This window comes from Homo sapiens, chromosome 2 (genome assembly GCF_000001405.40).
Source record: "Homo sapiens chromosome 2, GRCh38.p14 Primary Assembly".
NCBI lineage: Eukaryota > Metazoa > Chordata > Mammalia > Primates > Hominidae > Homo > Homo sapiens.
The window spans coordinates 219237404-219262987 of record NC_000002.12 but is presented as its reverse complement, the minus strand read 5'-3'; the positions used below and the strand labels follow the sequence as shown (position 1 = coordinate 219262987).

At 50.8% G+C, this 25584-nt stretch overlaps 4 protein-coding genes across 20 annotated transcripts in view, besides 8 other annotated features; 2 read left to right on the top strand and 2 right to left on the bottom strand.

Annotated features, from left to right (window-relative positions):
- Positions 1-9745, bottom strand: part of TUBA4B (tubulin alpha 4b) — an 18955-nt gene extending 9210 nt beyond the window's left edge. The window contains exon 1 of the mRNA NM_001355221.1: positions 9569-9745. Coding sequence (NP_001342150.1) covers positions 9569-9580 — 12 coding nt within the window. The 5' untranslated portion in view covers positions 9581-9745. The remainder of the gene's footprint in view (positions 1-9568) is intronic.
- Positions 8018-8087: an enhancer, noted in NCBI's record as "active region_17148". NCBI's record gives its function as "activates an Ori minimal core promoter by ATAC-STARR-seq in GM12878 lymphoblastoid cells {active_cell/tissue: GM12878}" and the evidence as "EXISTENCE:reporter gene assay evidence [ECO:0000049][PMID:35858748]".
- TUBA4A (tubulin alpha 4a) lies at positions 8248-13278 on the top strand. Of its 3 annotated transcripts, none has more exons than XM_047445674.1 (4): positions 8248-8768; positions 10758-10980; positions 11275-11423; positions 11665-13278. In XM_047445674.1, the coding sequence occupies exons 1-4, from the start codon at positions 8739-8741 to the stop codon at positions 12634-12636; spliced, it is 1374 nt and encodes a 457-aa protein (XP_047301630.1). In that variant the 5' UTR covers positions 8248-8738; the 3' UTR covers positions 12637-13278. The 3 variants fall into 3 exon arrangements, with proteins under 3 accessions (XP_047301630.1, NP_001265481.1, NP_005991.1); NM_001278552.2 differs by having other exon boundaries at positions 8248-8893; NM_006000.3 differs by lacking the exon at positions 8248-8768 and adding an exon at positions 9070-9132.
- Positions 8738-9107: a silencer, noted in NCBI's record as "silent region_12351". NCBI's record gives its function as "represses an Ori minimal core promoter by ATAC-STARR-seq in GM12878 lymphoblastoid cells {active_cell/tissue: GM12878}" and the evidence as "EXISTENCE:reporter gene assay evidence [ECO:0000049][PMID:35858748]".
- Positions 9518-9577: an enhancer, noted in NCBI's record as "active region_17147". NCBI's record gives its function as "activates an Ori minimal core promoter by ATAC-STARR-seq in GM12878 lymphoblastoid cells {active_cell/tissue: GM12878}" and the evidence as "EXISTENCE:reporter gene assay evidence [ECO:0000049][PMID:35858748]".
- Positions 9608-9687: an enhancer, noted in NCBI's record as "active region_17146". NCBI's record gives its function as "activates an Ori minimal core promoter by ATAC-STARR-seq in GM12878 lymphoblastoid cells {active_cell/tissue: GM12878}" and the evidence as "EXISTENCE:reporter gene assay evidence [ECO:0000049][PMID:35858748]".
- Positions 12651-17509, bottom strand: STK16 (serine/threonine kinase 16). 7 transcript variants are annotated; one of them, NM_001330213.2, is made up of 8 exons: positions 17192-17509; positions 16903-17092; positions 16112-16331; positions 15742-15875; positions 15453-15573; positions 15231-15326; positions 14674-14795; positions 12651-14567 (listed from the first exon to the last, which is right to left on the bottom strand). In NM_001330213.2, exons 2-8 carry the CDS (start codon positions 16986-16988, stop codon positions 14429-14431), a joined length of 918 nt encoding a protein of 305 aa, NP_001317142.1. In that variant the 5' UTR covers positions 16989-17092; positions 17192-17509; the 3' UTR covers positions 12651-14428.
- Positions 12756-12875: an enhancer, noted in NCBI's record as "active region_17145". NCBI's record gives its function as "activates an Ori minimal core promoter by ATAC-STARR-seq in GM12878 lymphoblastoid cells {active_cell/tissue: GM12878}" and the evidence as "EXISTENCE:reporter gene assay evidence [ECO:0000049][PMID:35858748]".
- Positions 12916-13005: an enhancer, noted in NCBI's record as "active region_17144". NCBI's record gives its function as "activates an Ori minimal core promoter by ATAC-STARR-seq in GM12878 lymphoblastoid cells {active_cell/tissue: GM12878}" and the evidence as "EXISTENCE:reporter gene assay evidence [ECO:0000049][PMID:35858748]".
- Positions 17246-17828: an enhancer, noted in NCBI's record as "H3K27ac hESC enhancer chr2:220109882-220110464 (GRCh37/hg19 assembly coordinates)". NCBI's record gives its function as "activates a minimal SCP1, AML or CMV promoter by ChIP-STARR-seq in naive H9 embryonic stem cells {active_cell/tissue: H9 hESC(naive)}" and the evidence as "EXISTENCE:reporter gene assay evidence [ECO:0000049][PMID:30033119]".
- Positions 17368-17797: an enhancer, noted in NCBI's record as "active region_17143". NCBI's record gives its function as "activates an Ori minimal core promoter by ATAC-STARR-seq in GM12878 lymphoblastoid cells {active_cell/tissue: GM12878}" and the evidence as "EXISTENCE:reporter gene assay evidence [ECO:0000049][PMID:35858748]".
- GLB1L (galactosidase beta 1 like) overlaps positions 17544-25584 on the top strand; it is an 8847-nt gene continuing 806 nt past the window's right edge. Inside the window, exons 1-17 of one of the 9 annotated variants that reach the window (XM_047445814.1) lie at positions 17544-17759; positions 19046-19209; positions 19357-19486; positions 19674-19840; positions 20070-20220; positions 20414-20474; positions 22703-22797; positions 22894-23068; positions 23155-23213; positions 23306-23427; positions 23537-23577; positions 23778-23896; positions 24209-24283; positions 24404-24493; positions 24625-24738; positions 25031-25162; positions 25261-25476. In XM_047445814.1, the coding sequence (XP_047301770.1) occupies positions 19415-19486; positions 19674-19840; positions 20070-20220; positions 20414-20474; positions 22703-22797; positions 22894-23068; positions 23155-23213; positions 23306-23427; positions 23537-23577; positions 23778-23896; positions 24209-24283; positions 24404-24493; positions 24625-24738; positions 25031-25162; positions 25261-25476 (1689 nt within the window). In that variant the 5' untranslated portion in view covers positions 17544-17759; positions 19046-19209; positions 19357-19414. Of the gene's footprint in view, positions 17760-19045; positions 19487-19673; positions 19841-20069; positions 20221-20413; positions 20475-22702; positions 22798-22893; positions 23069-23154; positions 23214-23305; positions 23428-23536; positions 23578-23777; positions 23897-24208; positions 24284-24403; positions 24494-24624; positions 24739-25030; positions 25163-25260; positions 25477-25584 lie in introns of those variants that run through there. The other 8 variants (NM_024506.5, NM_001286423.2, XM_024453137.2 and 5 more) reach the window with 8 other exon arrangements.

Genomic DNA, 25584 nt, shown 5'->3' with positions numbered 1-25584 from the left:
CTCACTGCGACCTCCGCCTCCCGGGTTCAAGCAATTCTCCTGTCTCAGCCTCCCAGGTAGCTGGGATTACAGGCGCATGCCACCATGCCTGGCTAATTTTTGTATTTTTAGTAGAGACGGGGTTTCATCATGTTGGTCAGGCTGGTCTCGAACTCCTGACCTCAGGTGATCTGCCCACCTTGGCCTCCCAAAGTTCTGGGATTACATGTGTGAGCCACTGTGCCTGGCAAGTTTATGCTCTTAAGAAGCTTACATTCTAGCCTGGGCAACATAATGCGACTCTGCCTCCACAAAAAAAAAAATTTTTTTTTAATTAGCTGGGTGTGGTGGCACATGCCTGTGGCCCCAGCTACTTGGGAGGCTGAGGAGGGAGGCTCACTTGAGCGCAGGAGGTCAAGGTTGCAGTGAGCCGTGATCATGCCACTTGCACTCCAGCCTGGGTGACACAGTAAGACCCTGTCTCAAAAAGAAATAAAATGGAGCTTTCATTTTCATGGGGAAGACAGACAATAAACAAACAAGAACATTCCAGATAGCAATAAGCATGTGAAGAAAACAAGGCTGGATAATGGAACAGAAAGATATGCAGGGGCTGCTATTTTAGACTGAACAGAAGCCACTCTATAAGAAGGTGATATTTGTTTTGTTTTGTTTTGTTTTGTTTTTGAGACAGAGTCTCGAGTCTCGCTCTGTCGCCCAGGCTGGATGGAGTGCAGTGGCACGATCTCAGCTCACTGCAAGCTCTGCCTCCTGGGTTCACGCCATTCTCCTGCTTCAGCCTCCCGAGTTGCTGGGACTACAGGCGCCCACCACCACGCCAGGCTAATTTTTTGTATTTTTAGTAGAGATGGGGTTTCACCATGTTAACCAGGATGGTCTCGATCTCCTGACCTCATGATCCGCCCGCCTCGGCCTCACAAAGTGCTGGGATTACAGGCGTGAGCCACTACACCCGGCCAGAAGGTGACACTTGAACTGAGGGCTGAATGGTGAGGAGTCAGCGAGGCAAGATCTGGAAACCAGTTCTCCAGACAGACAGAATAATAAGTGCAAACAATCATAGGTAGGAACTAGCCCAGTGTGTCCAAAAACCCAGAGTGAGGAAAGGAGAGAGCTCTACAAGATGAGATCATAGAGGTGGAGGGGCCTTGGAAGGAGAATGGCTTTTATATAAGTGTAACAGGAGGGTTTGAAACAAGCGTCATTGCCTAGCTTGTGTTTCAGAGAGATGACTGCAGCTGCTGTGTGGAGACTGCATTAGGGTTTCAAGCCTAGAGGCAGGAAGCTGGTTCAGAGGCTGCTGAAGGCATCTAGGAATAACGGGATGGTAGTAGGGGGTGGTGAGAAGTAGCTGGGTTGGCAGTAAAGTGAAGGACATACTAGTGTAGGTGGTGGCAGAGCTTCTCAACAGCCTTGCCTGCCCCTGCCCAATTCTTCACTAGCAAGGTCCTGATTTTATTTGAGTATTCACCCTTGCACTTGCTTGAGGAAGACAGCTTTCCCCCAGACCTAGGGGTGTGTACAGGTTAGTCCAAACCATCCATGGCCATTTAACTCCCTCCCTCCAGTGACTGGTTTAGGCAAAAGCTAGTGAGATAGAAGGGGGAAGTCTGCTAGGGCGCTTCAAGGAAAGGTTTTTCTCCTGATAAAAACAGATGTGGGAGGAAGCCCCCCATTTCCTGCCTTAAGACAGAGTCATATAAGGACATGATACTTAGAGCTGCTGTATCTTGTGTTCCTGAGGGAAGATGTCACCCGCTCTTTGAGGATGACAGCGCAGAAAGCTAGAAACACTGGAGTTATTGGTGACATGACTGAATCAACCCTGGAAAGACCCTATACTCAGATTTCTTGTGGGATAATACATGCCCTCATTGTTCAAGCCATTGATAAGTTAGGTTTTCCATTATTTGCAGCCAAAAAATTCTAACTTAAAAGAGGGAGAGGAGAGAGAGAGAGAGAGAGGAAAGTGATCCTAAAATAAAGATTTTATTTATTTATTTATTTATTTATTTTTTTAGATGAAGTCTCGCTCTTGTCCCCCAGGCTGGAGTGCGATGGTGCGATCTTGGCTCACTGCAACCTTCGCCTCCTTCAAATGATTCTTCTGCCTCAGCCTCCCGAGCAGCTGGGATTACAGGTGCCCGCCACCAAGCCCAGCTAATTTTTGTATTTTTAGTAGAGACGGCGTTTCACCATGTTGGTCAGGCTGGTCTCAAACTCCTGACCTCAGGTGATCCGCCACCTTGGCCTTCCAAAGTGCTGGGATTACAGGCGTGAGCCACCGTGCCCGGCCAATCCTAAGATTTTAACTCAAGCACTTGGAAGGAAGATGATCACTCAGACTGGGAAGCCTAGAACAGAAGCAGGTTTGGCAGGGAGTGGGGTGAGGGTAGAAAACAGTTCCATGGTGACTGTGTTATGTTTGAGATGTCTCATGGGCTTTCAAGTGGAGATGTCAAGAAAGCAATTAGTCATATGAATCTGAAGTTCAGAGGAGAGGTCAGAAATGGAGATATAAATTTGAGTCGTCAGCATATATATGACATTCATTTCTTTTTATCCTATTCCTTCACTATTGTATGGGAATGTATATACTCTAGTTTTAAAATAATTCCAAAATTATTTTTTAATAATTCTCTTTAAATAATTCCAAAAATGTTACAATAACTTTTTATGATGAATATTATTAAAAATATACCTAAAAATAGAGATAATATAATAAAACCTCATATATTCATCACCAAGCTTCAACAATTGCTCCTTCAGGGAGAAAAATAAATGAAGGAAATAAGAGAACCTGAGACTGGGCTATGGGGAACATCATTTAAAATTAAGCTATCAGAGGCCACCAAGAAGGAGGGGCCAGGACAAAAGCTAGAAGCCGGTGCTGTCATCAAAACCAACAAAAAAGAATTTCAAGAAGGAAAGAAGAATCGACCATGAGAAATGCTGCTGTGAGCGGCTAAGAAAGATGAAGATGGAGATGTGTGGCCTTTGGATTTGGCAAGAGGCAGGCCACTAGAGACCTTGGCAAAAGCATCTCAGCGGAGCATGTGAGTCAAGTCTGCAGGGAGAGTATTGAGGGGTGAATTCATGGATATGTGATGAGTAGGGCTACCCCATTTGTAAAGGCAGTGCTGTGAGAAGGAGGATGGCTGGGAGATGCTCTAGTCTGGAAAAACTGAAGGATGCACATCACTAAGGCTGTGGCTCTATCTCTCCCAGATGGAGTCAGTGCAAACATTTTAAACTTTGAGTACCTTGCTGCCCTGCTCCAAGATAAAGGTGAGACCCTGGGAAGGGGTCAGAAAAGATGGAGATGATAATGGGAAAGGAGAAGAGGGAGAGAGACCCAGAGGGAGAGTACACATATAGGTAGATGGACTGAAAAGTTAATTCAACGGGAGAGTGAATTAGAAAAGTAATTCAACATCTGGTAGCATTTTCTAGATTCTGTACATGTCTGTGAATGTCTAAAAGTTTTTGATCTGGTAAAATGGACCATTACCTGCATACTCACCCAGAGTTTATGGCCCTAATTCTGGAGATCTGTATACATCCTGAGGACATACACACACACACAAACACACACACACACAATCAGAAGCAGAATCTGTATTTCACTAACATGCCTTGGGCATTTCTTTTTTTTTTTTTTTTTTTTTTAGACAGAGTCTTGCTGTTATTGCCCAGGCTGGAGTGCAGTGGCGCATTCTCGGCTCACTACAACCTCTGCCGCCAAGGTTCAAGCGATTCTCCTGCCTCAGCTCCTGAGTAGCTGGGATTTCAGGTGCCTGCCACCATGCCCGGATAATTTATTTATTTATTTATTTATTTATTTATTTATTTATTTATTTATTATTTTTAGTAGAGACGAGGTTTCACCATGTTGGTCAGGCTGGTCTCAAACTCCTGACCTCACAATCCGCCTGCCTCGGCCTCCCAGAGTGCTAGGATTTACAGGAGGGAGCCACTGCTCCCGGCCATCTTGGGCATTTCTTCCTGCACCCATGTCTTCTCCATTTTGTCAGCTAGAAAGCGTGCTCAAGGATTATAAACTCTTAGCTACAGTGGCCAGGGTATCATAAATGTGTAACGTGGGCTGATCGTATGAAGTTAAATGACAACAGACACTTGTGTTCTGTGTCAGGGAGACACAGAGAGTGATGAGGACTGTGGCGAACTGGAGGGAGCTTGTTGCCCATCTTAAGATGGTAGCTTCCACATACCTCTATTGTTGTCGTATTATTTTCCTACTGTTACTGTAACAAATTGTAATAAAAATCATAGCTTAAAACAACACACATTTGTTATCTGCCAGGGCTGGAGTTCAGAAGTCCAAAATGAGCCAGGTGGGCTGGGCATGGTGAATCATGCCTGTAATCCCAGCACTCAGGGAGGCTGAGGCAGGCAGATCACTTGAGCTCACGAGTTCAAGACCAGCCTGGGCAACATGGTGAAACCCCATCTCTACTAATAATACAAAAAAAAAAAAAACTAGCCAGGCGTGGTGGTGCACACCTGTAGTCCCAACTACTCAGGAGACTGTGGTGGAAGGATGGCTAGAGGCCGGGAGGTGGAGGTTGCAGCGAGCCAAGATTGCGTCACTGCACTCCAGCCTGGGTGATAGAGCCAGACCTTGTGTCAAACAAAAACAAAAACAAACACAAAACAAAACAAAACAAACAAAATGAGGCCAGGTATGGTGGCACATGCCTGTAATCCTAGCACTTTGAGAGGCCAAGGCAGGTGGATTACCTGAGGTCAGGAGTTCGAGACCAGCCTGTCCAACATGGTGAAATCCTATCTCTACTAAAACTACAAAAATTAGCCAGGCATGCTGTGCACCTGTAATCCCAGCTACTCGGGACTTTGAGGCAGCAGAATCGCTTGAACCTGGTAGGTGGAGGTTGCATTGCACTGTGAGCTGAGATCACACTACTGCACTCCAGCCTGGGTGACACAGAGAGACTGTCTCAAAAAAAAAAAAAAAAAAAAAAACACCCAAAATGGGCCAGGTGACTCATGCCTGTAATCTCAGCAGTTTGGGAGGCCAAGGCAGGAGAAGAGCTTATGGCTAGGAGCTCTAGACCAGCTTGGGCAACACAGCAAGACCCCATATCTATAAAATATATATATATAGTGTGTGTATATATATATTTTTTTTTTGAGACAGTTTCGCTCTTGTTGCCCAGGCTGGAGTGCAATGGCACAATCTTGGCTCACCACAACTTCTGCCTCCCTGGTTCAAGCGATTCTCCTGCCTCAGCACTGCAATCCAGCCTGGGCAAGAGAGCAAGATCCTGTCTTCCTGTCTCTTTTTTTTTTTTTTTTTTTTTTTTTGAGACAGTGTCTCTCACTATTGCCCAGGCTGGAGTGCAATGGTGCAATCTTGGCTCACTGCAACATCTGCCTCCCAGGTTCACACGATTCTCCTGCCTCAGCCTCCTGAGTAGCTGGGATTACAGGTGCACACCACCATACCTGGCTAATTTTTTGTATTTTTGGTAGAGACGGGGTTTCACTATGTTGGTCAGGCTGGTCTTGAACTTCTGACCTCGTGATCCACCTGCCTCGGCCTCCCAAAGTGCTGGAATTACATGCCCGGCCAAGATCCTGCCTCAAAAAAAAAAAAAAAAAAAAAGGCTGGGCGCAGTGGCTCACACCTGTAGTCCCAGCATTTTGGGAGGCTGAGGTGGGTGGATCACGAGGTCAGGAGATCGAGACCATCCTGGCTAACACTGTGAAACCCCATCTCTACTAAAAATACAAAATTAGCCAGGAGTGGTGGGACATGCCTGTAGTCCCAGCTACTCGGGAGGCTGAGGCAGGAGAATTGCTTGAACCCGGGAGGTGGAGCTTGCAGTGAGCCGAGATCGCGCCACTGTACTCCAGCCTGGGCAACAGTGAGACTCCATCTTAAAAAAAAAAAAAAAAAAAAGCCAAAATGGGTCTTACAGAACTGAAATGAAGGTGTTGGCCAGGTTGCCTTCCTTCTGGAAATTCTAGGGGAGAATCTATTCCTCGACTTTTCCATCTTCTAGAGGCTGCCCATATTCTTTTACTCATGGCCCCTATCCCTCTTCAAAGCCAACAATCACATCATTCTGACCTCTACTTACTTTTGACCTCTTCTTTATTTTATAATTTTTATTTTTTGGTAGAGACAGGGTCTCACTATGTTGCCCAAGCTGGTCTCAAACTGCCGACCTCAAGTGATCCTCCCACCTCAGCCTCCTAAAGTGTTGGGATTACTGGCATGAGCACTGCACCAGGTCTGACCTCTTCTTTGACTCTGACCCTCCTGCCTCCTTCTTTCACTTATAAGGACCCTTGAAATTACACTGGGCCTACCTGGGATAATCCAGGATCATCTCCCTATCTCAAGATCTTTACCTTAATAACATCTTCAAAGTATTTTGCCATGTAAGGTAACAGTCACAGGTCCTGGAGATGAGGATGTGGACATCTTTATGGGGTAGCATTCTTCTGCCTACCATCTCTGAAGTGAAACAATTCTTCTGACACACACTTAGCAAATGCTTACCAGGTGTGCTAAGCACTATGCTAGGAGCTAGAAACAAAGATGAATAAGACACAGTCCTTACCTCCAATAGTTTGCTATCTATAATATTAAGATGGACATGTACACAAATAACTATAGCATGATGTGCTATATGCACTAAAATAAATGTCACAGCTACTTACACAGTGCCTTGATGTGAATATGTACATCTCTAAATTCATCTGATATTCACAATCTGAAGTTGTTATCCCGGTTTTACAAATGAAGAATCTGCACCTGAAGGTCAAAGAGGTTTAGAGTTTTTCCTAAGATAGCTCAAGTCTCTTACTATGTTCATTCTGCTAGGATAGGAGAGCACAAGGAAAAAGAGGTTCAGGGAGGGTCTGCAACCTACTGCCATGTGTCCTATAGTCACCACGGCTCCTTTCTTTGTAGGGACCATGACCTTATTCCCCAAAGAAGCCTCATTATACGCCCCTGTCAGTTTTCTTTTTATGAATGAGTCTTGTTCTCCCAATCAGATGGCAAGTCTACTGGGAAGAAAGACCTTGTCATATTTCACTATATTCCTTTCCATGCCTTGCCTATTTTGTTGATAGAGAGTTGCCATCACTAGTTCTTTCATGGTATTATGTTGTGTTGTCAGGTGATGGGGGAGGGAGGGGTGAATCCTTTCCAAGTGATGTAGAGCCAGGAAGACAGGTTTCTTAAGATCTGCAAACCAGCAGCACCTGGGGCACTGCCAGATGACTTTCCCCAGTGAAGGGAGACAATTAGAAAATGCAAGGCAGGCTGGGGTGGTTGCTCAGGCCTGTAATCCCAGCACTTTGGGAGGTTGAGGCGGGTGGATCGCTTGAGCTCAGGAGTTCAAGACAAATCTGGACAATATGGCGAGACCTTGTCTCTACTAAAAATACAAAAAATAAGGCCGGGTGTGGGGGCTCACACCTGTAATCCCAGCACTTTGGGAGGCTGAAGCAGGTGGATCATCTAAGGTCAGGAGTTGGAGACCAGCCTGACCAACATGGTGAAACCCCGTCTCTACTAAAAATACAAAAATCATCCAGGCATCCATGCCTGTAATCCCAGCTACTCCAGAGGCTGAGGCAGGAGAATCGCTAGAACCCGCGAGGCAGGTGTTGAGGTGAGCCGAAATCGTGCCATTGCACTCCAGCCTGGGCAACAAGAGCGAAACTCCATCTCAAAAATAGATAAATAAATAAAATAAGCTGGGCATGGTGTTGGTGCACGCCTGTGGTCTCAGCTACTGAGGAGGCTGAGGTGGAAGGATGAGGTAGAAGGATGGCCTTGAGCCGGGAGATGGAGGTTGCAATGAGCTGAGATTGCACCACTGCACTCTAGCCTGGGTGACACAGCAAGACACTGACTCAAAAGAGAGAGAGAGAGAGAGAAAGAGAAAGCAGAAGTAGCTTGAAAAGATGGGGTGGAGAGAACGGAATGAAATGTAGAAAGAAGGGCTTCTGCGGAGACCAGGGGCTGAGTGCTGAGACCATTAAGGTGCGGGTTGCAGATCCTGCTCTTGGGTTAGAGACAGAAGAGACCAAGAGTCAGAATCATCCAAGATATGAGAATCTCGATTTTCTTCTTTTCTCTTCAGAGGCAACAGACATTTTGATAGCTTACAACAATGTTTCCACTATGACATCACTGTCTCCTTTTCACCCACGAAAATGTCAAGGACTCAGTGAGGTTAAGTCACTTGCTCAAGGTCACACAGGGTAGCCTGGAGGAGAATCCAGGTCCTGAGGTCCCCCGGTCAGCGCTCCCGCAGTTCTGGCAGCAGGGGAGTGGGCAGGTGCCCTCAGCGAGGGCATCATAGTGACTGCGCTGATGACAGCGCCACTGACCCGCGGGCGGCCGGCGAGCCGCGGCAGATTCCGGGGTCGGCCCCGGCAGACAGGCTGCGGGGCTCGACTCTGCGGGAGCGCCTAAGGCATTGGCAATCTGGGGCTCAGGCTGTGCAGTTCTGGGTCCTCGGCCGCCCACAGGCGTCGGCGAAAGGCTGCCGCCCCGGCCGGGGACCAGGAAGCGTCAGGCAGCTGGCAAGGGCTCCCCGGGGACGCGCCACAGCCTCACAGCCGGCCCGAGTCTCCTGGGAGGCAGGGCTGGAAGGGCAGGGGTGAAGGCCAGCTGTGGCCGCTTGGGAAGGACCGCCTCGCCTGCTCCCGACCTAAGTCAGAACACCTGGATGACCGGTGCCTCCAGGACGCAGGTGCAGGTGAGACTCGCCCTGCCACAGCACCCTGCATCTCCGCGGAGGCCCTCGGGAGCCCAGCGTGTCTGCTCAAAACGAGGAAAGAATGGTTAAAGCCCGAATCGCGACTCTTAATCCCAGCGGGACAGGTGAGGGACCCCCGCGCAGCTTGGGGAGGGTACCAGGCCAGGCTCCGCCCCTCGGGGGGGCCGCTTACCCTCCCGGGAGGCGTGGCCTGCGGGCCGCCCAGCCTCTAGTGGGCGAGCGGGGAACGCGGGCCCCGCCCCCCCCCCGCCTATAAGGGCGGTGCGGCACTGCAGCTAGCGCAGTTCTCACTGAGACCTGTCACCCCGACTCAACGTGAGACGCACCGCCCGGACTCACCATGGTGAGTGCGGCCCGGCCGGGGTCGCGCCTGTCCCCTAATTGCCCCTCTCCTTTGGGGGACACTTCTTCCAGGCATGCTCGGGGACCTCCACCGGGCGTTCCGGGTCTCCAGGAGGTGCGAGGGTTTTGCATCCTCCCTCCCCAACCCCCTCCTGGTGACTTTGGCCGAGCCGTATAGTTCACCTTCGGTGGCTGGGGTTGGGGCTTGGGGTGGAGTGCGACTCTTCAGTAACAGAGAGGAACCCTTCCTGGCACTCTGCTCCTGCCTTACGAGCATTTGTGTCCCGACTCTGTATGAGAGTCACGCGGGCCCGCGCCCCGTCCTTTCCGCGGGCAAAAGAAGACGGGTTTGGCTGCCCTCTTACATCCCCAGTCCCTGGTCCTCAGCACTGACCGAGCACGTGCTTGGCGCTAGAAGGTGGAAGGGGTCAGGTTACCTGGTGCCGCATCCCCCTTTCCTCTGTGTATGCATTCCAACTATCCACAGAACCACCCCCCCCCCGTGACTCAGCACCCCGCGTCTGAGCTGAGAGGGTTGGTGGGAACGGGGTTCGGCCTCCTGAAGCGAGCTGGCCCTCTCCAGCCGAAGCCCGGGTGCGCGGATGGGCAGAGACAGCTGGCGCTGAGCACTGCGCGGGCCGAGGCCAGGTTGGGGGGAGGGGAGAGAGGTGCATGTAGGGGGTGGTATTTATAGCCCAGGAGCGGGGGCCGAAACCCAATCCCCGCTTTGGGCTGGGAAATAACTGTAAAGACTCCAGAGGGAGAGCGGATGTAGGGCTGGGCTGCAGGATGGCGCCCATCCTGCCCGGGACAAGGCGGGTCACCTCTGGGGCCTCACCGCAGGTTCCACTTCCTTTCTGGGTATTTGGAAACCGTCACCCCGCCATTTCGGTGTGGGAAGAGCGCGCGGGCCCTGCCGGACTTTAGTGCTTTAGGGGTTAATTTCGGGCTGACAGGGACGGAGCCTAAGGCAGTGAGCGCCCCAGTACCCTCAAACCTTATTGCTGGCCCCTGCTGTCTGAGCTTACAAGCATTACCGCCGCTATTTCCGTGCGGGCTGACACGGGAGATGAAAGTGGTGAAGACACCCAGGGTGCGGGGGTGGAGGTGGGGAGAGGAGCCAGATGGGATTGATCCCCAGAGCCAGATGGGATTTAAAGGTGAGGGAGGAGGGCATCCTGATGGCGTGTGGTCAGTTGATGCCAGATTGGATGGCTGAGACACCTCTGCAGCTTACAGGAAAGAAAGAGGGAAAGGGTTCTATGAATTCTAGCTGTTCATACTCAAAGCAAATAATTAATCAAGTGGGGGGGGGGCCTCTAGCTGTAAACCCATACCTCTAGGAAACCTTTTGTCATGTGGAGCCACAGTGCTCACTTGACAGATTCCCCACTGAGAAGTGGGCTAAGAGGTTGGCCTGCATTGCTGGGTGCCTCCAGGTGGGGAGTCCTGTACCTGGGAGCCCGGGCAGGCTGCTACTCTCTTCTCACCTCTGCCCAGCCCCAACCCTCCACTCTTGCCAACTGAGTCATCCTAGCTGGTAGATGATAGGGTGGAAGAGAGACTCGCAAGGTGAGGACTTGTGGATGTGGGGCTCATGCTGTGTCCCCTCTCTCTATCCCTCAGCGTGAATGCATCTCAGTCCACGTGGGGCAGGCAGGTGTCCAGATGGGCAATGCCTGCTGGGAGCTCTATTGCTTGGAACATGGGATTCAGCCTGATGGGCAGATGCCCAGTGACAAGACCATTGGTGGAGGGGACGACTCCTTCACCACCTTCTTCTGTGAAACTGGTGCTGGAAAACACGTACCCCGGGCAGTTTTTGTGGATCTGGAGCCTACGGTCATTGGTGAGAGGAAGTGGGGACAAAATTGAAGGGGGTGGAGCATGACTCAAAGCTTCTCCCTGGAGAGAGAGGGTATTTAGACCAGGCATTCCTAGCCCTGAAAATTCCTAGCCGTACTTGAAGCTGCAGAAGGCAAGCTGATCTGAGACTGGCCTGGGCAGCTGGTCTGGGTTTCTCTCACACTCTGGTATCTCAGGCTGGCAGGAGGATGAGTCCTTCCATGCATCTGGCCACAGCTACCACCCTGGGGGAGGAAGGTCCCTGCTGAGCATAGCTTTGTGGTTTTTGCCCTTCCAGATGAGATCCGAAATGGCCCATACCGACAGCTCTTCCACCCAGAGCAGCTCATCACTGGGAAAGAGGATGCTGCCAACAACTATGCCCGTGGTCACTATACCATTGGCAAGGAGATCATTGACCCAGTGCTGGATCGGATCCGCAAGCTGGTGAGAGTGTGTCTTGGGAGGGAGGGAACTTTTGAGACTGTGCTAATGGTCAGGAATATTTTTTTTCAGATCCTTTCAGGAGGTCATCTCTAACTATACATGGTCTCGAGTGTGGTGCTGCTATGGCATCCTCAGTATTTGCCCTGACTGCTGATGTATCTTACGCTTTATGGAGCCAGGTGATAGAGTCCCTCAGGCCCCTCCCCTACCTAAACTGTTCTTTCTCGTTCTTGCCTTTCAGTCTGACCAGTGCACAGGACTTCAGGGCTTCCTGGTGTTCCACAGCTTTGGTGGGGGCACTGGCTCTGGCTTCACCTCACTCCTGATGGAGCGGCTCTCTGTTGACTATGGCAAGAAATCCAAGCTGGAATTCTCCATCTACCCAGCCCCCCAGGTGTCTACAGCCGTGGTCGAGCCCTACAACTCTATCCTGACCACCCACACCACCCTGGAGCACTCAGACTGTGCCTTCATGGTGGACAACGAAGCAATCTATGACATCTGCCGCCGCAACCTAGACATCGAGCGCCCAACCTACACCAACCTCAATCGCCTCATTAGCCAAATTGTCTCCTCCATCACAGCTTCTCTGCGCTTTGACGGGGCCCTCAATGTGGACCTGACAGAGTTCCAGACCAACCTGGTGCCCTACCCTCGCATCCACTTCCCCCTGGCCACCTATGCACCAGTCATCTCTGCAGAAAAGGCATACCACGAGCAGCTGTCGGTGGCAGAGATCACCAATGCCTGCTTTGAGCCTGCCAACCAGATGGTAAAGTGTGATCCCCGGCACGGCAAGTACATGGCCTGCTGCCTGCTGTACCGTGGAGATGTGGTGCCCAAGGATGTCAACGCTGCCATTGCCGCCATCAAGACCAAGCGCAGCATTCAGTTTGTGGACTGGTGCCCCACAGGCTTCAAGGTTGGTATCAACTACCAGCCTCCCACTGTGGTGCCTGGGGGTGACCTGGCCAAGGTGCAGCGTGCCGTGTGCATGCTGAGCAACACGACCGCCATCGCCGAGGCCTGGGCCCGCCTGGACCACAAGTTCGACCTGATGTATGCCAAGAGGGCGTTTGTGCACTGGTATGTGGGTGAGGGCATGGAGGAGGGTGAGTTCTCCGAGGCCCGTGAGGATATGGCTGCCCTGGAGAAGGATTATGAGGAGGTGGGCATCGACTCCTATGAGGACGAGGATGAGGGAGAAGAATAAAGCAGCTGCCTGGAGCCTATTCACTATGTTTATTGCAAAATCCTTTCGAAATAAACAGTTTCCTTGCACGGTTTCTTGTTCCCTCTGAGTGCTTGAGCTTCTGCTGCCTTCCCCTTCATGCTGCTGCTGCTCTGTTTGCTGTTCATGACCCTTATCCCTTCCATCGCTGAAGGTGAGACCTGCAAAGGGGTTCTTGCCAGGCCCAGGAAGCATAACCCCAGGGACTTTAAATTGAAGTCCTAGGGTTACTCAGTATAGGGAGGAAATGAGGACCAAAATCCAGGCACAAACTGTTGAAGGATGAGTCTTCAGCTCCTTTCCAAGTAGGAGTATAATCCAGTGGTTTCTGTCTTTGAAAGTTAGACTGCTACCCTGTTCTTCCTGCTGCCTCTACATTTACCAACTCTGGAAGCAAGGCTTGGCCCAGGCTCCTCTGTGCATTATGAGGGTTTGGGAGTGGGGCTGGGCTGGCCCAGAGTTCCTGGGCATGGAGCCACGTCATAAGCTTGGGGGATGGGAGGGAACACAGGCGATCTCCTAGAGTTGTTTGTGCCACTGCACCTCTGAGCAGCTTTGCATAGCTTCCTGTCTTGCTGCTTTGCTGGAGCTGGGGCTGTGCCATTAAAAGTCAGGTCATCTCCCCTCTGTTTGTGATTTCTTTCTGGCCTCAGCCTCTGTGCTAGCTAGTGGGAGACTCCTGCTAGGGCCCTGGGGAAAGCTTCAACTTTGCTAACAGGAGCCCCAGGCCCCATGCTGATGTCATACTGTGGGGTAGACATGGTTCGGGGGAGGAGGCTTGGATCACAAAAGAGCAGGAGATGCCAACCCTGCCCTTGCCTTTCCTCCCTGGTGATTCAGGGAACAGAGCCCTTCCCTAGGGAACAGGTTTGAAGCCCAGCTAAGACAGGGCCCCTGTTTACTCAGCAGAGTAGGCAGGAAGTGGCAGCTGGATACTGCCACACCACACTGCCTCATTAATCATTAACCATGTATGAGCTTGAACGATCAGGGAGACACAGGCCAAAACAGCTGCCGCTGCCACCTCCACTCCCCTCGCCCCTAGGCTGAGGATGGGAGACCTGTAATCTACCTGTCTCAAAGCTTCCTCAGGTGTCTCCACCCAGAGGCCCTTGCCTAGCAAACCGGCTAGGCAGCTTTGACTAAGCTACTCACCCCAGGAGTGAAGGAAGGAAAGAACTAGTTGAGTGTTTTTAGGGGGCCCTAGTTCTTGACACAGGCAGATGCCAGCTTGAGCCCAAGCAGCTTTAAGTTTTGATCTAAGACAAGCTAGAACTGTCCACTGCTAACCAACCTCCTGTAGAATGAAGTCACACCATTGCCGACTCTGCACCATTCCTCCTTCCCAGGCAGTTCGCCTGAAATGGCAACCTGACTTTGGGCCCCTTGCACCTCTTCTCTCACTCCAGGAACACTGAGACTAAGATCTACACCAACCTGCTTCCACTTTATTCTTGTTTACACATTCTCCTGCTCCCAGATTTGGAGTCAGAACACTATGTGAGCTCAACAGTCCTGCTCAGAGCCATGTTCCATATCCCACCAGTTTCCCTTTTCCCAACCCCCACCCACCCCCACTCAGTAAGTCCCCTTGCCCAGGTTTTGCTCTTGGAGGGAAGAAAGCAGAAGAAAAGATGCAGGACTGAGATGATTGTCCTGACCCCGCTACCCCCAAGTGTAAGAGAAGTCCTGGATGGAATGGGTGGTGATTCCAATGAGGGATGGGAACCTCTTTCCAAGGCACAAGGGGCCATCTTCTCAACATGCTGCTTTTTCAGATTTGGGTAGTATGTTGGCCAGGAGCTGGGGGCTGAAGCGCCTCCAGCTGACTGAGGAGGAGAGGAATGTGAGGACGCTGATGCGGGTCCACGGTCATCATCGAGTTCAGGAGCTGCCGCAATGCTGAAGAATGCCTGTGGAGGGAGGAGCCCAGGGTGACCGGATGACACCTATCTGTCAACTCAGCTAATACCAGGGGGGAGTCTGAAACACTTGATGCCCTATTCGTTGCTCACTCACCTGGGGCTTTGTGGGATGCTGAGTTGGTTCTGCACAGCAAGGGCCACACTGTCACCCTTTTGGAACACCATGTCATAAGGGCCTTCCCCAAACATCATGGCATATAGCACGCAGCCTAGGGACTGAGCATAACTTGATTAGTCCCTAGAAGGGGACCAGTGGAGGTGACATCTCTCCCTTTACTTCTGTGGTAAAAGGAGACTCCATAAGCTAAAAAGAATACGCTGACCTCAGCCACATGGCACCACCAGGGTCCAGAGAAACTGCCAGTCAGCTGGAGGCCTCCGCAGCCCCTGTTTAGCTTAGCCCCTGCTTAGCCAGTGCCTTCACTACTGACACTGAGCTGTACTCACCTTGTTCAGGGGCACAGATTATACCACATCCGGTACAACTGGGTACAGTATCAGTGACATTTCCCAGGAAGGAAGTTGAAGTGGATGGGGACATATTGTGGTTCCTGGCGCCCCATGCAACAGAAACCAACAACCTACTCTACTCCACGGTGGGTACAGAGCCACAGCCCTCCCTACCCAGATACCCACCCACATGCTCCTCACCCAGACATCAGTCCGCTCATCGATGACACAGTGACTCTGCACAGAGAAGAGCTCTGGGGCTCGGTAGGAGATGGTGCACCGCTGGGCTGCCCAGTCCTGGAACAGTGATCCCAGAGCTCAAAAGTGGGGCACAGGTCATGGTCATGTGACCAAACTGGGACATGCACCAGAAGGGGTGGGAATGGGGAACAGGTGAGAAAAGGAACCTGGAGACTCTTTTACCTGCAGGGTCAGAGCCTGGCGGGAGCCCTCCACATGGATGCATGCTTGATTCATGGAACCCAAGTCCATTAAAACTGGCTGCCCCTCATCTCCAAGCAATATATTGGTGGGCTTCAAGTCTCTGTAGAGAAGTAGAAGTGACCTATGAGCATCTCTGGACAGGAAGGCTGGAATCCCAGCAAGCAAAAGAATCATACAGGCTGTTTCTTGGGAGAACAGAGACCTCCCATGTCTCCTGGTGAGGCTCTTCCTCTGGGCCCCAGCAAGCACACAGGGTCCTCCCACTGACCTGTGGGCATAACCCTTGGCATGAATGGCCTCAAGGCCTCTGCAGATCCCCAGCAGCAGCCAAAGGATTTGATCCTCGGTCAGGAAGTTGCCTTTGTCCTTCAGCCTTTCTATCTCATTCCACAGCGTACCTCTCTGCAACACAAGTTTCCCTACAGTTGGAGATGTTTTTGGAGCCTCTGCTCCTTAGGCCTGATCCCTTCCCTATGTCAAAGCCTATCAGCCCTTTCATGATACACACCTCAAACTCAAAATCTAAAGTGGCCAAACCCAGGACATGGTCCCTGCTTCCTAACATGCTGGACTGCTCACACAGCCCTTGAGTAGGTGGCTCTGCTGCAACCCCCTCCATAACCAGGAGTCTTTCTGACCTTGAAGAATGGTAGCAGCAGCCAGGCCTCATGCTTAGCACCCCGTTCCCTCAGACAGTAAGCCACGAGGCGAAGGATGTTGGGGTGATTGAAGAGGCGATGCATGTCGGCTTCTCGCTGGGCCTCCTCCCGGTCCTGCTGCTCGTGACACAGGATTCGCTTCAGGGCGTAGAAGTGTCCATCATGTAACCCTTCCACTAGGTCCACATAGCTGAACCCACTGTGGGCCAAAGGGGTCAATAAAGGGCCATGGTCATCTCCCACATGGCTTGGACCTAGAGAAATTTCCTGGTGGGGAGTGGGGTGTCCTTCCCATTTAGCAGAAACCTTCCCAAGATGTGGCTCTAAGAGAAATCTGAAGAATATTACACCGTGAGCTCCTCAGGAGCAGAGATATAGAAATCTTTGAGGTCCTATGGTCGTAATAGAGACCTCTGCACTTGACAGATGCTAAATAAATAATAGCCAACACTTATCAAGTACTTGTCAACCCCGCATTGGGTGAGACATTTTATACACATTATCTCATTTAATCCTCACAACTCCATCAGTGAGGGATAATAATCATCTCCATTAAGCTGATGAAAAAAACATGGTTTATCAAGGTCACACGAGGTGGATTTAGCAGGCCTGGCTCCAGAATCCACCTTCTTGATACTGTGTAGCTAGGTTCTGTCAGGTGAGAGAGGACAGGGATAGGGATAAAACCCTTGTGCCCCAAGCATATGCACACCGCTGTCCTTCAATGATCATAAACTTGAGGACTAGTTAACTGACTTCCAAACACTCACCCCTCCCCCAGTTTCTGGATGAAGAGGTAGCGCTTATTGTCAATGATGACAGTTCCCCGAGAGCAGACACACAGCGCGTGGCCCATAATGTCTCAGTCATCCTCTTCAAGGACGGTCTGAGGCTACCGAAGAGCTCGTCCAGGGTGAGTGGGCTCTTCCAGGAGATGCGCTGGGGGCCCAGCGGATCATGCTGGAAAGAAAACAACGGCAGGGTCACAGGTCCGGCACAATCCAGACGACCCATGAAGTACCAATGCGGAGAGCTCAGGCCCAGGTCTCTGGAACCTACACTATAGTGTAGAGAAAACAGGCCCTGCTCCGTCGCCAGCTTCAGGGGTGGGGTCAGGCGCCTTACGGCCTCAGGACACACAGCGGCTACCGGGCCACTTCCTCCAACCCCAGCCCATCTTTGGGCAGCCCCCGCTCCCACGCCCATCGCGCCGCAAAAGCAGAGCATAGCGTAGTTTCAGAGGACGTGCGAGGCTCAGGCCCACTCCTGGCAGGGCCCACCCCGGTCTAGGAGCCCAGAGCCCGGGATGGGCCATCTGCACTGCCGGACTGACCTGGCTCGGGCCAGAGAGAAGCGCCACCGACCGGAAGCAGTGCTGACATCATCAGTCCGCGCCGGCGTAACGGCCCGCGGTATCTCAGCAACCGCTGGGCATCCGGAGGATGTGGGGACGCGGAGCTGAGAGGCTCCGGGCTAGCTAGGTGTAGGGGTGGACGGGTCCCAGGACCCTGGTGAGGGTTCTCTACTTGGCCTTCGGTGGGGGTCAAGACGCAGGCACCTACGCCAAAGGGGAGCAAAGCCGGGCTCGGCCCGAGGCCCCCAGGACCTCCATCTCCCAATGTTGGAGGTAGGAGGCTTCATACCTCTGGCGCTCTGGGGCAGAAAGCGGCCAACTACACTGCAGCCTGGAGGGGGATCCAGTGAGGGGCGGGTCTGGTGGCCTGGTCTCCTGATCCCGTACAACCTTCTGGGCTCTGGCCTGTATCCCACTACCCCTAGTCTCAGTGGTTAAGAGCTCAGGCTTGTGAACCAGACTTCCAGTTTCTAAATTGAGTGTTAATAGCATGCTAGCTGTGTAACCTCGGGCAAGTTACTTAACCTCTCGGATCCTTACTTTTGGTAGCTGTAAAATAGGTATAATAGTACATAAGGTTAAGTAGCTTAACTGTGAGGCCAGACTGACTAGTTCAAATGACAGCTCCGTTAACGTAGTTGTGTGACCTTGGACAGGCTACTTAATGTTTCTGTCCTTTCCTCTCCTCCTCTGTAAAATGGAAATAATTATCTACCTCATGGAGTTGAAGATTAAATGAGATGTACAGTGTTTAATACAATATCTGACACATAGCCTTCAGTACGTGTCAATAAACCGTAATTATTATTACCCTGATCTTCACATCCCATTCTTGAGACTGTAAAGGCAAAAGGAACGGAAATTCACAGATTTTCGAGCTTTGGCACAAAGCAGTTGTCCTTAATATCTGTTGCGGAGGCAGGCAGGGGTAAGCTGGAGAGGGGTGCACTTCCAAAGAAGGTGGAATGGCCAGGAGGGAATGGCTGTTTTGCTGAAACAGGACTCTCCAGGAAAGAGGTCCTTCTTGTGACCTGGTTCCTCCCTTCCACACCCCGGATCACCCTGAAGATTTTCCAATGGTTTCCCCTGGTTCTGAACCTGTTTTAGCCTTTTGGTTATGACATTGATTCATCCAGATTTAACCTACTATATACCCGGCCCTGTGCTAGAGGCTGAGGATTTGAGATGAACAGGGCACTCCCTGTCCTCAGGGAGCCCAGTCAAGTAAAGCCATGCTTCTCAATTTTGAAGGTGCCTAGGATCACCTGGGAATCTTGTTAAAATACAAATTCTGATTCTATAGGTCTGAGGTAGGATCTGAGATTTTACATTTCTTTTGTTTGTTTGTTTGTGTTTTTTGAGACAGAGTCTCGCTCTGTTGCCCAGGCTGGAGTGCAGTGGCAGGATCTCGGTTCACTGCAACCTCCGCCTTCCGGGTTCAAGCAATTCTCCTGCCTCAGCCCCTACCCCCACCCCCACCCCCACCCCCACCCCCACCCTCGGAGTAGCTTGGAATACAGGCGCGTGCCACCAGGCCCGGCTAATTTTTGTATTTTTAGTAGAGACAGGGTTTTGCCCTGTTGGCCAAGCTGGTCTTGAACTCCTGACCTCAAGTGATCCACCCGCCTCGGCCTCCCAAAGTGTTGGGATTACAGGCGTGAGCCATCGTGCCCAGCCAGATTCTCCATTTCTAACAAGTTCCCAGGTGATGTCGATGAAGCTGGTTCGTGAACTGCACTTTAACATGATGTAGAAATTTTACAAACTAGTAGAGTAAGGGGGTGGCTGCAGGCTGGAGAGGAAGTCCAGGCTAAACGCCTGGCAACTTGAGGTGGTTTCCGCCCCCTTGCTCGCTGAGGTTCCCTCCCAGGAATCCGACACGTGACGGTCTGTCCGCCGTCTCAGACTAGAGGAGCGCTGTAAACGCCATGGCTCCCAAGAAGCTGTCCTGCCTTCGTTCCCTGCTGCTGCCGCTCAGCCTGACGCTACTGCTGCCCCAGGTAAGATGAGACGGTGAACCAGCCTGCCGGGTGCGGTGAGCGGGATCAGATCCAGCGGATGAGAGAAAGTCCAAAGTAACAACCAAACAACCCGCAGGGCTAGTTCCATCTCTTCCGCTCTTGGCAGGCGCTGACCCTCGACGCTCCCTCCAGGCGTCTGCTGAGCAGCGTCTCTTTCTCTTTATAGGCAGACACTCGGTCGTTCGTAGTGGATAGGGGTCATGACCGGTTTCTCCTAGACGGGGCCCCGTTCCGCTATGTGTCTGGCAGCCTGCACTACTTTCGGGTACCGCGGGTGCTTTGGGCCGACCGGCTTTTGAAGATGCGATGGAGCGGCCTCAACGCCATACAGTTGTAAGAAGTGCTCGCAAGAGCCGCGGAGGGATGGGATCTACTTTTTCTACCGCCCCCTTATAAAGAAGGTCGGGACAGGAAGACTGCCAGGACTCCTAGGCCAAGGGTGGGAAAGGGCAGGCCAGGACCTCCTTCCAACCGCTTCCTGGAGATTCCCTGCAAGGCCTGAGCCGTTAGGCCTCCCTGGCGTCTCTTCACCTTGGTTCCTATTAACCTCTTCCTTTCTCAGTTATGTGCCCTGGAACTACCACGAGCCACAGCCTGGGGTCTATAACTTTAATGGCAGCCGGGACCTCATTGCCTTTCTGAATGAGGCAGCTCTAGCGAACCTGTTGGTCATACTGAGACCAGGACCTTACATCTGTGCAGAGTGGGAGATGGTGAGTTAGCTGGAGAAGGGATAGAACCAGTTATCCTTGTGCAGTTCCTAGACTACTCCCATCTGCCCACACTCTAGGGCCATCTCCAGCACTATATTCAATTCCTTCCCTTCCTTCCTTCCCTTCCTAGCTTCCCCACCACACCCCAAAACAAAACCTACATGCTTCTTTGTTCTCTTTATGTTTGTCTCAGGGGGGTCTCCCATCCTGGTTGCTTCGAAAACCTGAAATTCATCTAAGAACCTCAGATCCAGGTGAGTTGAGACAAAGGATTTAACACAGAAGCAAGTAAGTAAAATGGGCTATTTGGGTGCCAAAAGCAGAAGAGACCATTCCCAAATTGGAGGTCATCATTCATTTACCAAGTGTTTCCTTCATGCCCAGCAGGATGCTAGAAACTGGGGGACCAGACAGACCCCCATCCTTGTGCCGTAAAGCTTATAATATAGTGGAAGAAACTGATTAAAAAAAAAAAAAACAGCTGGGCGCGGTGGCTCATGCCTGTGATCCCAGCACTTTCAGAGGCCCAGGCGGGTGCATGACCTGAGGTCAGGAGTTTGAGACCCACCTGGCCAACATGGCAAAATCCCATCTCTACTAAAAATACAAAAAATTGGCTGGGCGAGGTGGTGGGCACCTGTAATCCCAGCTACTTGGGAGGCTGATGCAGGAGAATCACTTGGGCCCGGGGGTCAGAGGTTGCAGTGAGCCGAGATTGAACAACTACACTCCAGCCTGGGTGACAGATTGAAGAGACTTTGTCTCAAAAAAGAGAAAATCCTATCAGCTGTATCTTGACAAACATTAAATTTAAGTGCTTTTTATCACCCCCATTGCCCCCACCCTGGTCCAAACCATCTCTCTCAGCTGGCTTATTTTATAGCTTCCTAACTGGTTTCCCTTGTTTGCCCTCTCCCCCATACAATCTGTTCTCAGTAGAGTAGCCAGTGTGATCCTGTTCAAGTATAAGTTTAAAGATACATCTCAGATCTTGTCATTTCTCTGCTTAAACCTCTCTAGTAGGTTCTCATCTCATTCAGAATATGAACCATAAATTCCTTAAAGTGGTAGGTCCTACACAATTGGCCCCAGTCACCTCCTCGACATTATTGCTCTTCTCCCCCATGTTCACTCTGCTCCAGCCACAGTGGCCTCATTGCTGTTCTTCAGACCCACCAGGCCTTGGGCTTTGAGGCCTTTGCATGTGGTGCTCCTTCATCACAAGCCTCCTGCAGAAGTCACCTTGGTGAGGCCTTCCTGGTCTCTCTCTCGCTCTCTCTATACATACATATATATGTATGTATATATATATATATATATATATACACACACACACACACACACACACACACACATATATATATATTATTTTTATTTTGTTTTATTTTTGAGATGGAGTCTCGCTCTATCACCCAGGCTGGAGTGCAGTGGCGCAATCTCGGCTCACTGCAAGCTCCACCTCCCAGGTTCACGCCATTCTCCTGCCTCAGCCTCCTGAGTAGCTGGGACTACAGGTGCCCACCAACACACCCGGCTATTTTTTGTATTTTTAGTAGAGATGGGGTTTCACTGTGTTAGCCAGGATGGTCTCGATCTCCTGACCTCGTGATCTGCCAGCCTTGGCCTCCCAAAGTGCTGGGATTACAGGTGTGAGCCGCCGCACCCGGCATAATTGTTATTTTTTTTTGAGACGGAGTCTTGCTCTGTTGCCCAGGCTGGAGTGCAGTCACGTGACCTTGGCTCACTGCAACCTCCGATTGGGTTCAAGTGATTCTCCTGCCTCAGCCTCCCGAGTAATTGGGATTGCAGGCACCTACCACCTTGCCCGGCTAATTTTTTGTATTTTTAGTAGAGACAGGTTTTTGCCATGTTGGCCATGAGGGTCTCAAACTCCTGACCTCAGGTCATCCACCCCTGCCTTGGCCTCAGAAAGTGCTGGGATTACAGGCGTGAGCCACCACACCCGGCCATCCCCTCTATATTTTAGTCTCCCCATATACCACCATTTTTGTTTGTTTGTTTTGAGATGGAGTTTTGCTCTTGTTGCCCAGGCTGGAGTGCAGTGGTGCAGTCTCGGCTCACTGCAACCTCTGCCTCCCGGGTTCAAGCGATTCTCCTGTCTCAGCCTCCTGAGTAGCTGGGATTACAGGCACCCGCCACCATGCCCAGCTAATTTTTTTGTATTTTTAGTAGAGACAGTGTTTCACCATGTTGGCCAGGATGGTCTCAATCTCTTGACCTCGTGATCTGCCTGCCTCCGCCTCCCAAAGTGCTGGGATTACAGGCGTGAGCCGCCACGCCCGGCCCATTTGTTTTTAAGAAACACTATTTTAAGGTTTCCTATGTTCAAATTTCATTGGCGTGCAAATATACAAGGTGCTTAGGGTTGGGAATTTCTTGACAAGAGTCATTGCTTCCCATATTTAGTGGTGAGCAAGTGTGATGGTAGCACCTAACACAGAAGCTCTGCTCCTTCCTTTAGACTTCCTTGCCGCAGTGGACTCCTGGTTCAAGGTCTTGCTGCCCAAGATATATCCATGGCTTTATCACAATGGGGGCAACATCATTAGCATTCAGGTACAAGGGGGAAGTGACTGGAGCAGGGGAAGAAGGTACAAGGGGTCCTTGACCTCCATCCCATAGCTGGGTTCCACTTTCCCTCCCCTCTGGCAGGTGGAGAATGAATATGGTAGCTACAGAGCCTGTGACTTCAGCTACATGAGGCACTTGGCTGGGCTCTTCCGTGCACTGCTAGGAGAAAAGATCTTGCTCTTCACCACAGATGGGCCTGAAGGACTCAAGTGTGGCTCCCTCCGGGGACTCTATACCACTGTAGATTTTGGCCCAGGTCTCAAGCAAGGGCTGGGAGTGGAGTCTGGGGAAAGGACACCTCTTCCACGACATTTATCTTTTTCTTTTGCCTCCTTTCCGCAGCTGACAACATGACCAAAATCTTTACCCTGCTTCGGAAGTATGAACCCCATGGGCCATTGGTGAGGGGCCAGAGAGGAGTCAGGGAATCAGGGATAGGAATGGGTCCAGCTCAGTTCCATCTCACTCACACTCCTTTCATTTCACACTCTAGGTAAACTCTGAGTACTACACAGGCTGGCTGGATTACTGGGGCCAGAATCACTCCACACGGTCTGTGTCAGCTGTAACCAAAGGACTAGAGAACATGCTCAAGTTGGGAGCCAGTGTGAACATGTAAGTAAAGACACTGGGGGCAATATGAATCTGTAGCTGGGAGCTGGGGATGAAAGTTAAGATTCAGTGAGTCAGCTTTTACCTGTTCCCCCACCCTCTCTCACTTCAGGTACATGTTCCATGGAGGTACCAACTTTGGATATTGGAATGGTGAGTCCAGATGGTCCCTGGGATAGAAGCAGGGAGGTAACAAGGAATTAGAATCTAAGGGCCAGGTGGATTAGGATGTCTAGAAGCTGAATATGGCCACCTCTGCCCCCTCTGATGGCAAAATTCTCTGCATGAAGCATGCTTAGTAGTGCCTGTCATCTGAAATACATGTTGAATTAATTAAATTGGCTCAACTTCAGGTGCCGATAAGAAGGGACGCTTCCTTCCGATTACTACCAGCTATGACTATGATGCACCTATATCTGAAGCAGGGGACCCCACACCTAAGCTTTTTGCTCTTCGAGATGTCATCAGCAAGGTACCCTACCATTTCATTAAGCTCCAAAGGCTTTTATTAATTTGGAGGAAGGGAGTGCCCACATTGTAAAGGTATCCCATAAATTGGTGGTTATTGTCTGGGCCACAGAGCCTTCTGAGCATCCCACTGAGGCATTTCCCATTCAACCAAATGGGACTATGTGTGAAGACACACAGGTGTGCAAAATTATTGAGCCTCCATGATCCCTGAAGCCCTTCCCTGGGCCCCAGGTTAGGAACTCTGCCCTAGAGTCTTGGAATAGGTATTGTTTTCTGTGGTTTTCCTATGGATCCTGAGAGAATCTGGGCTCAGTTCCAGGAAGTTCCTTTGGGACCTTTACCTCCCCCGAGCCCCAAGATGATGCTTGGACCTGTGACTCTGCACCTGGTAAGTTCCTCCACATCTTTTCTCTTATACCACACCTTTTTTTTCTAAATAGCCTATTCTTTCTTGTCCTCTATCCAGAAACTTCCCTGATATTCTAATTCTTCTCCCTTATTCTAATAGGTTGGGCATTTACTGGCTTTCCTAGACTTGCTTTGCCCCCGTGGGCCCATTCATTCAATCTTGCCAATGACCTTTGAGGCTGTCAAGCAGGTAAGGCATAAACCCACATCTGGTGGAGATGACAACCTCCCTTAACAGCTATACGCAAAAGTTCCTTGGCTATAGTCACAGTGTCCTCTTTTATTTCTGTTTGTCTGAAGTACTCATTCTTCCATACCCAGGACCATGGCTTCATGTTGTACCGAACCTATATGACCCATACCATTTTTGAGCCAACACCATTCTGGGTGCCAAATAATGGAGTCCATGACCGTGCCTATGTGATGGTGGATGGGGTGAGAACCTAATTCCAGGCTGTGAGCCCCAAACTCCTCCCTTCCCCAGGAAGCGTTAGCCTTAAGTTCCCCATATTTACACTTTCCCACCTGCCTGTTCACGTTTGCAGAGGGTTCCAGGGATAAGCTGGGATGAGGAAGAGTTTGATTAAGGATAGAATTCTAGAATAGATGGGTGATAGATGGCTACATTCTCTCTGCCCTCCAAATAAGTATCCTAATGTGTGGTTTCCTATGCAGTGGCTAAGAGCTAGATGCTGAGCCTTGCTCCTATCCTATCTCCTATCCACAGGTGTTCCAGGGTGTTGTGGAGCGAAATATGAGAGACAAACTATTTTTGACGGGGAAACTGGGGTCCAAACTGGATATCTTGGTGGAGAACATGGGGAGGCTCAGCTTTGGGTCTAACAGCAGTGACTTCAAGGTGAGCTAGCTTTGCCTAGTTATATCCCAGGGCTTGATTAAGGATAACTTAGCTTCAAAGCTTAGTGAATGATGACTTTTCATTTTCCTTCCCTATAGGGCCTGTTGAAGCCACCAATTCTGGGGCAAACAATCCTTACCCAGTGGATGATGTTCCCTCTGAAAATTGATAACCTTGTGAAGTGGTGGTTTCCCCTCCAGTTGCCAAAATGGCCATATCCTCAAGCTCCTTCTGGCCCCACATTCTACTCCAAAACATTTCCAATTTTAGGCTCAGTTGGGGACACATTTCTATATCTACCTGGATGGACCAAGGTATTGGTAATGGTGGTGGTTTGGGTAGCGGGGAGGTAAAAGAGAAAAATCACAGAAGGAGGGGAGCAGAAAGTATCCTCTGATTAGAAACCCAAAAGGGTATGATTC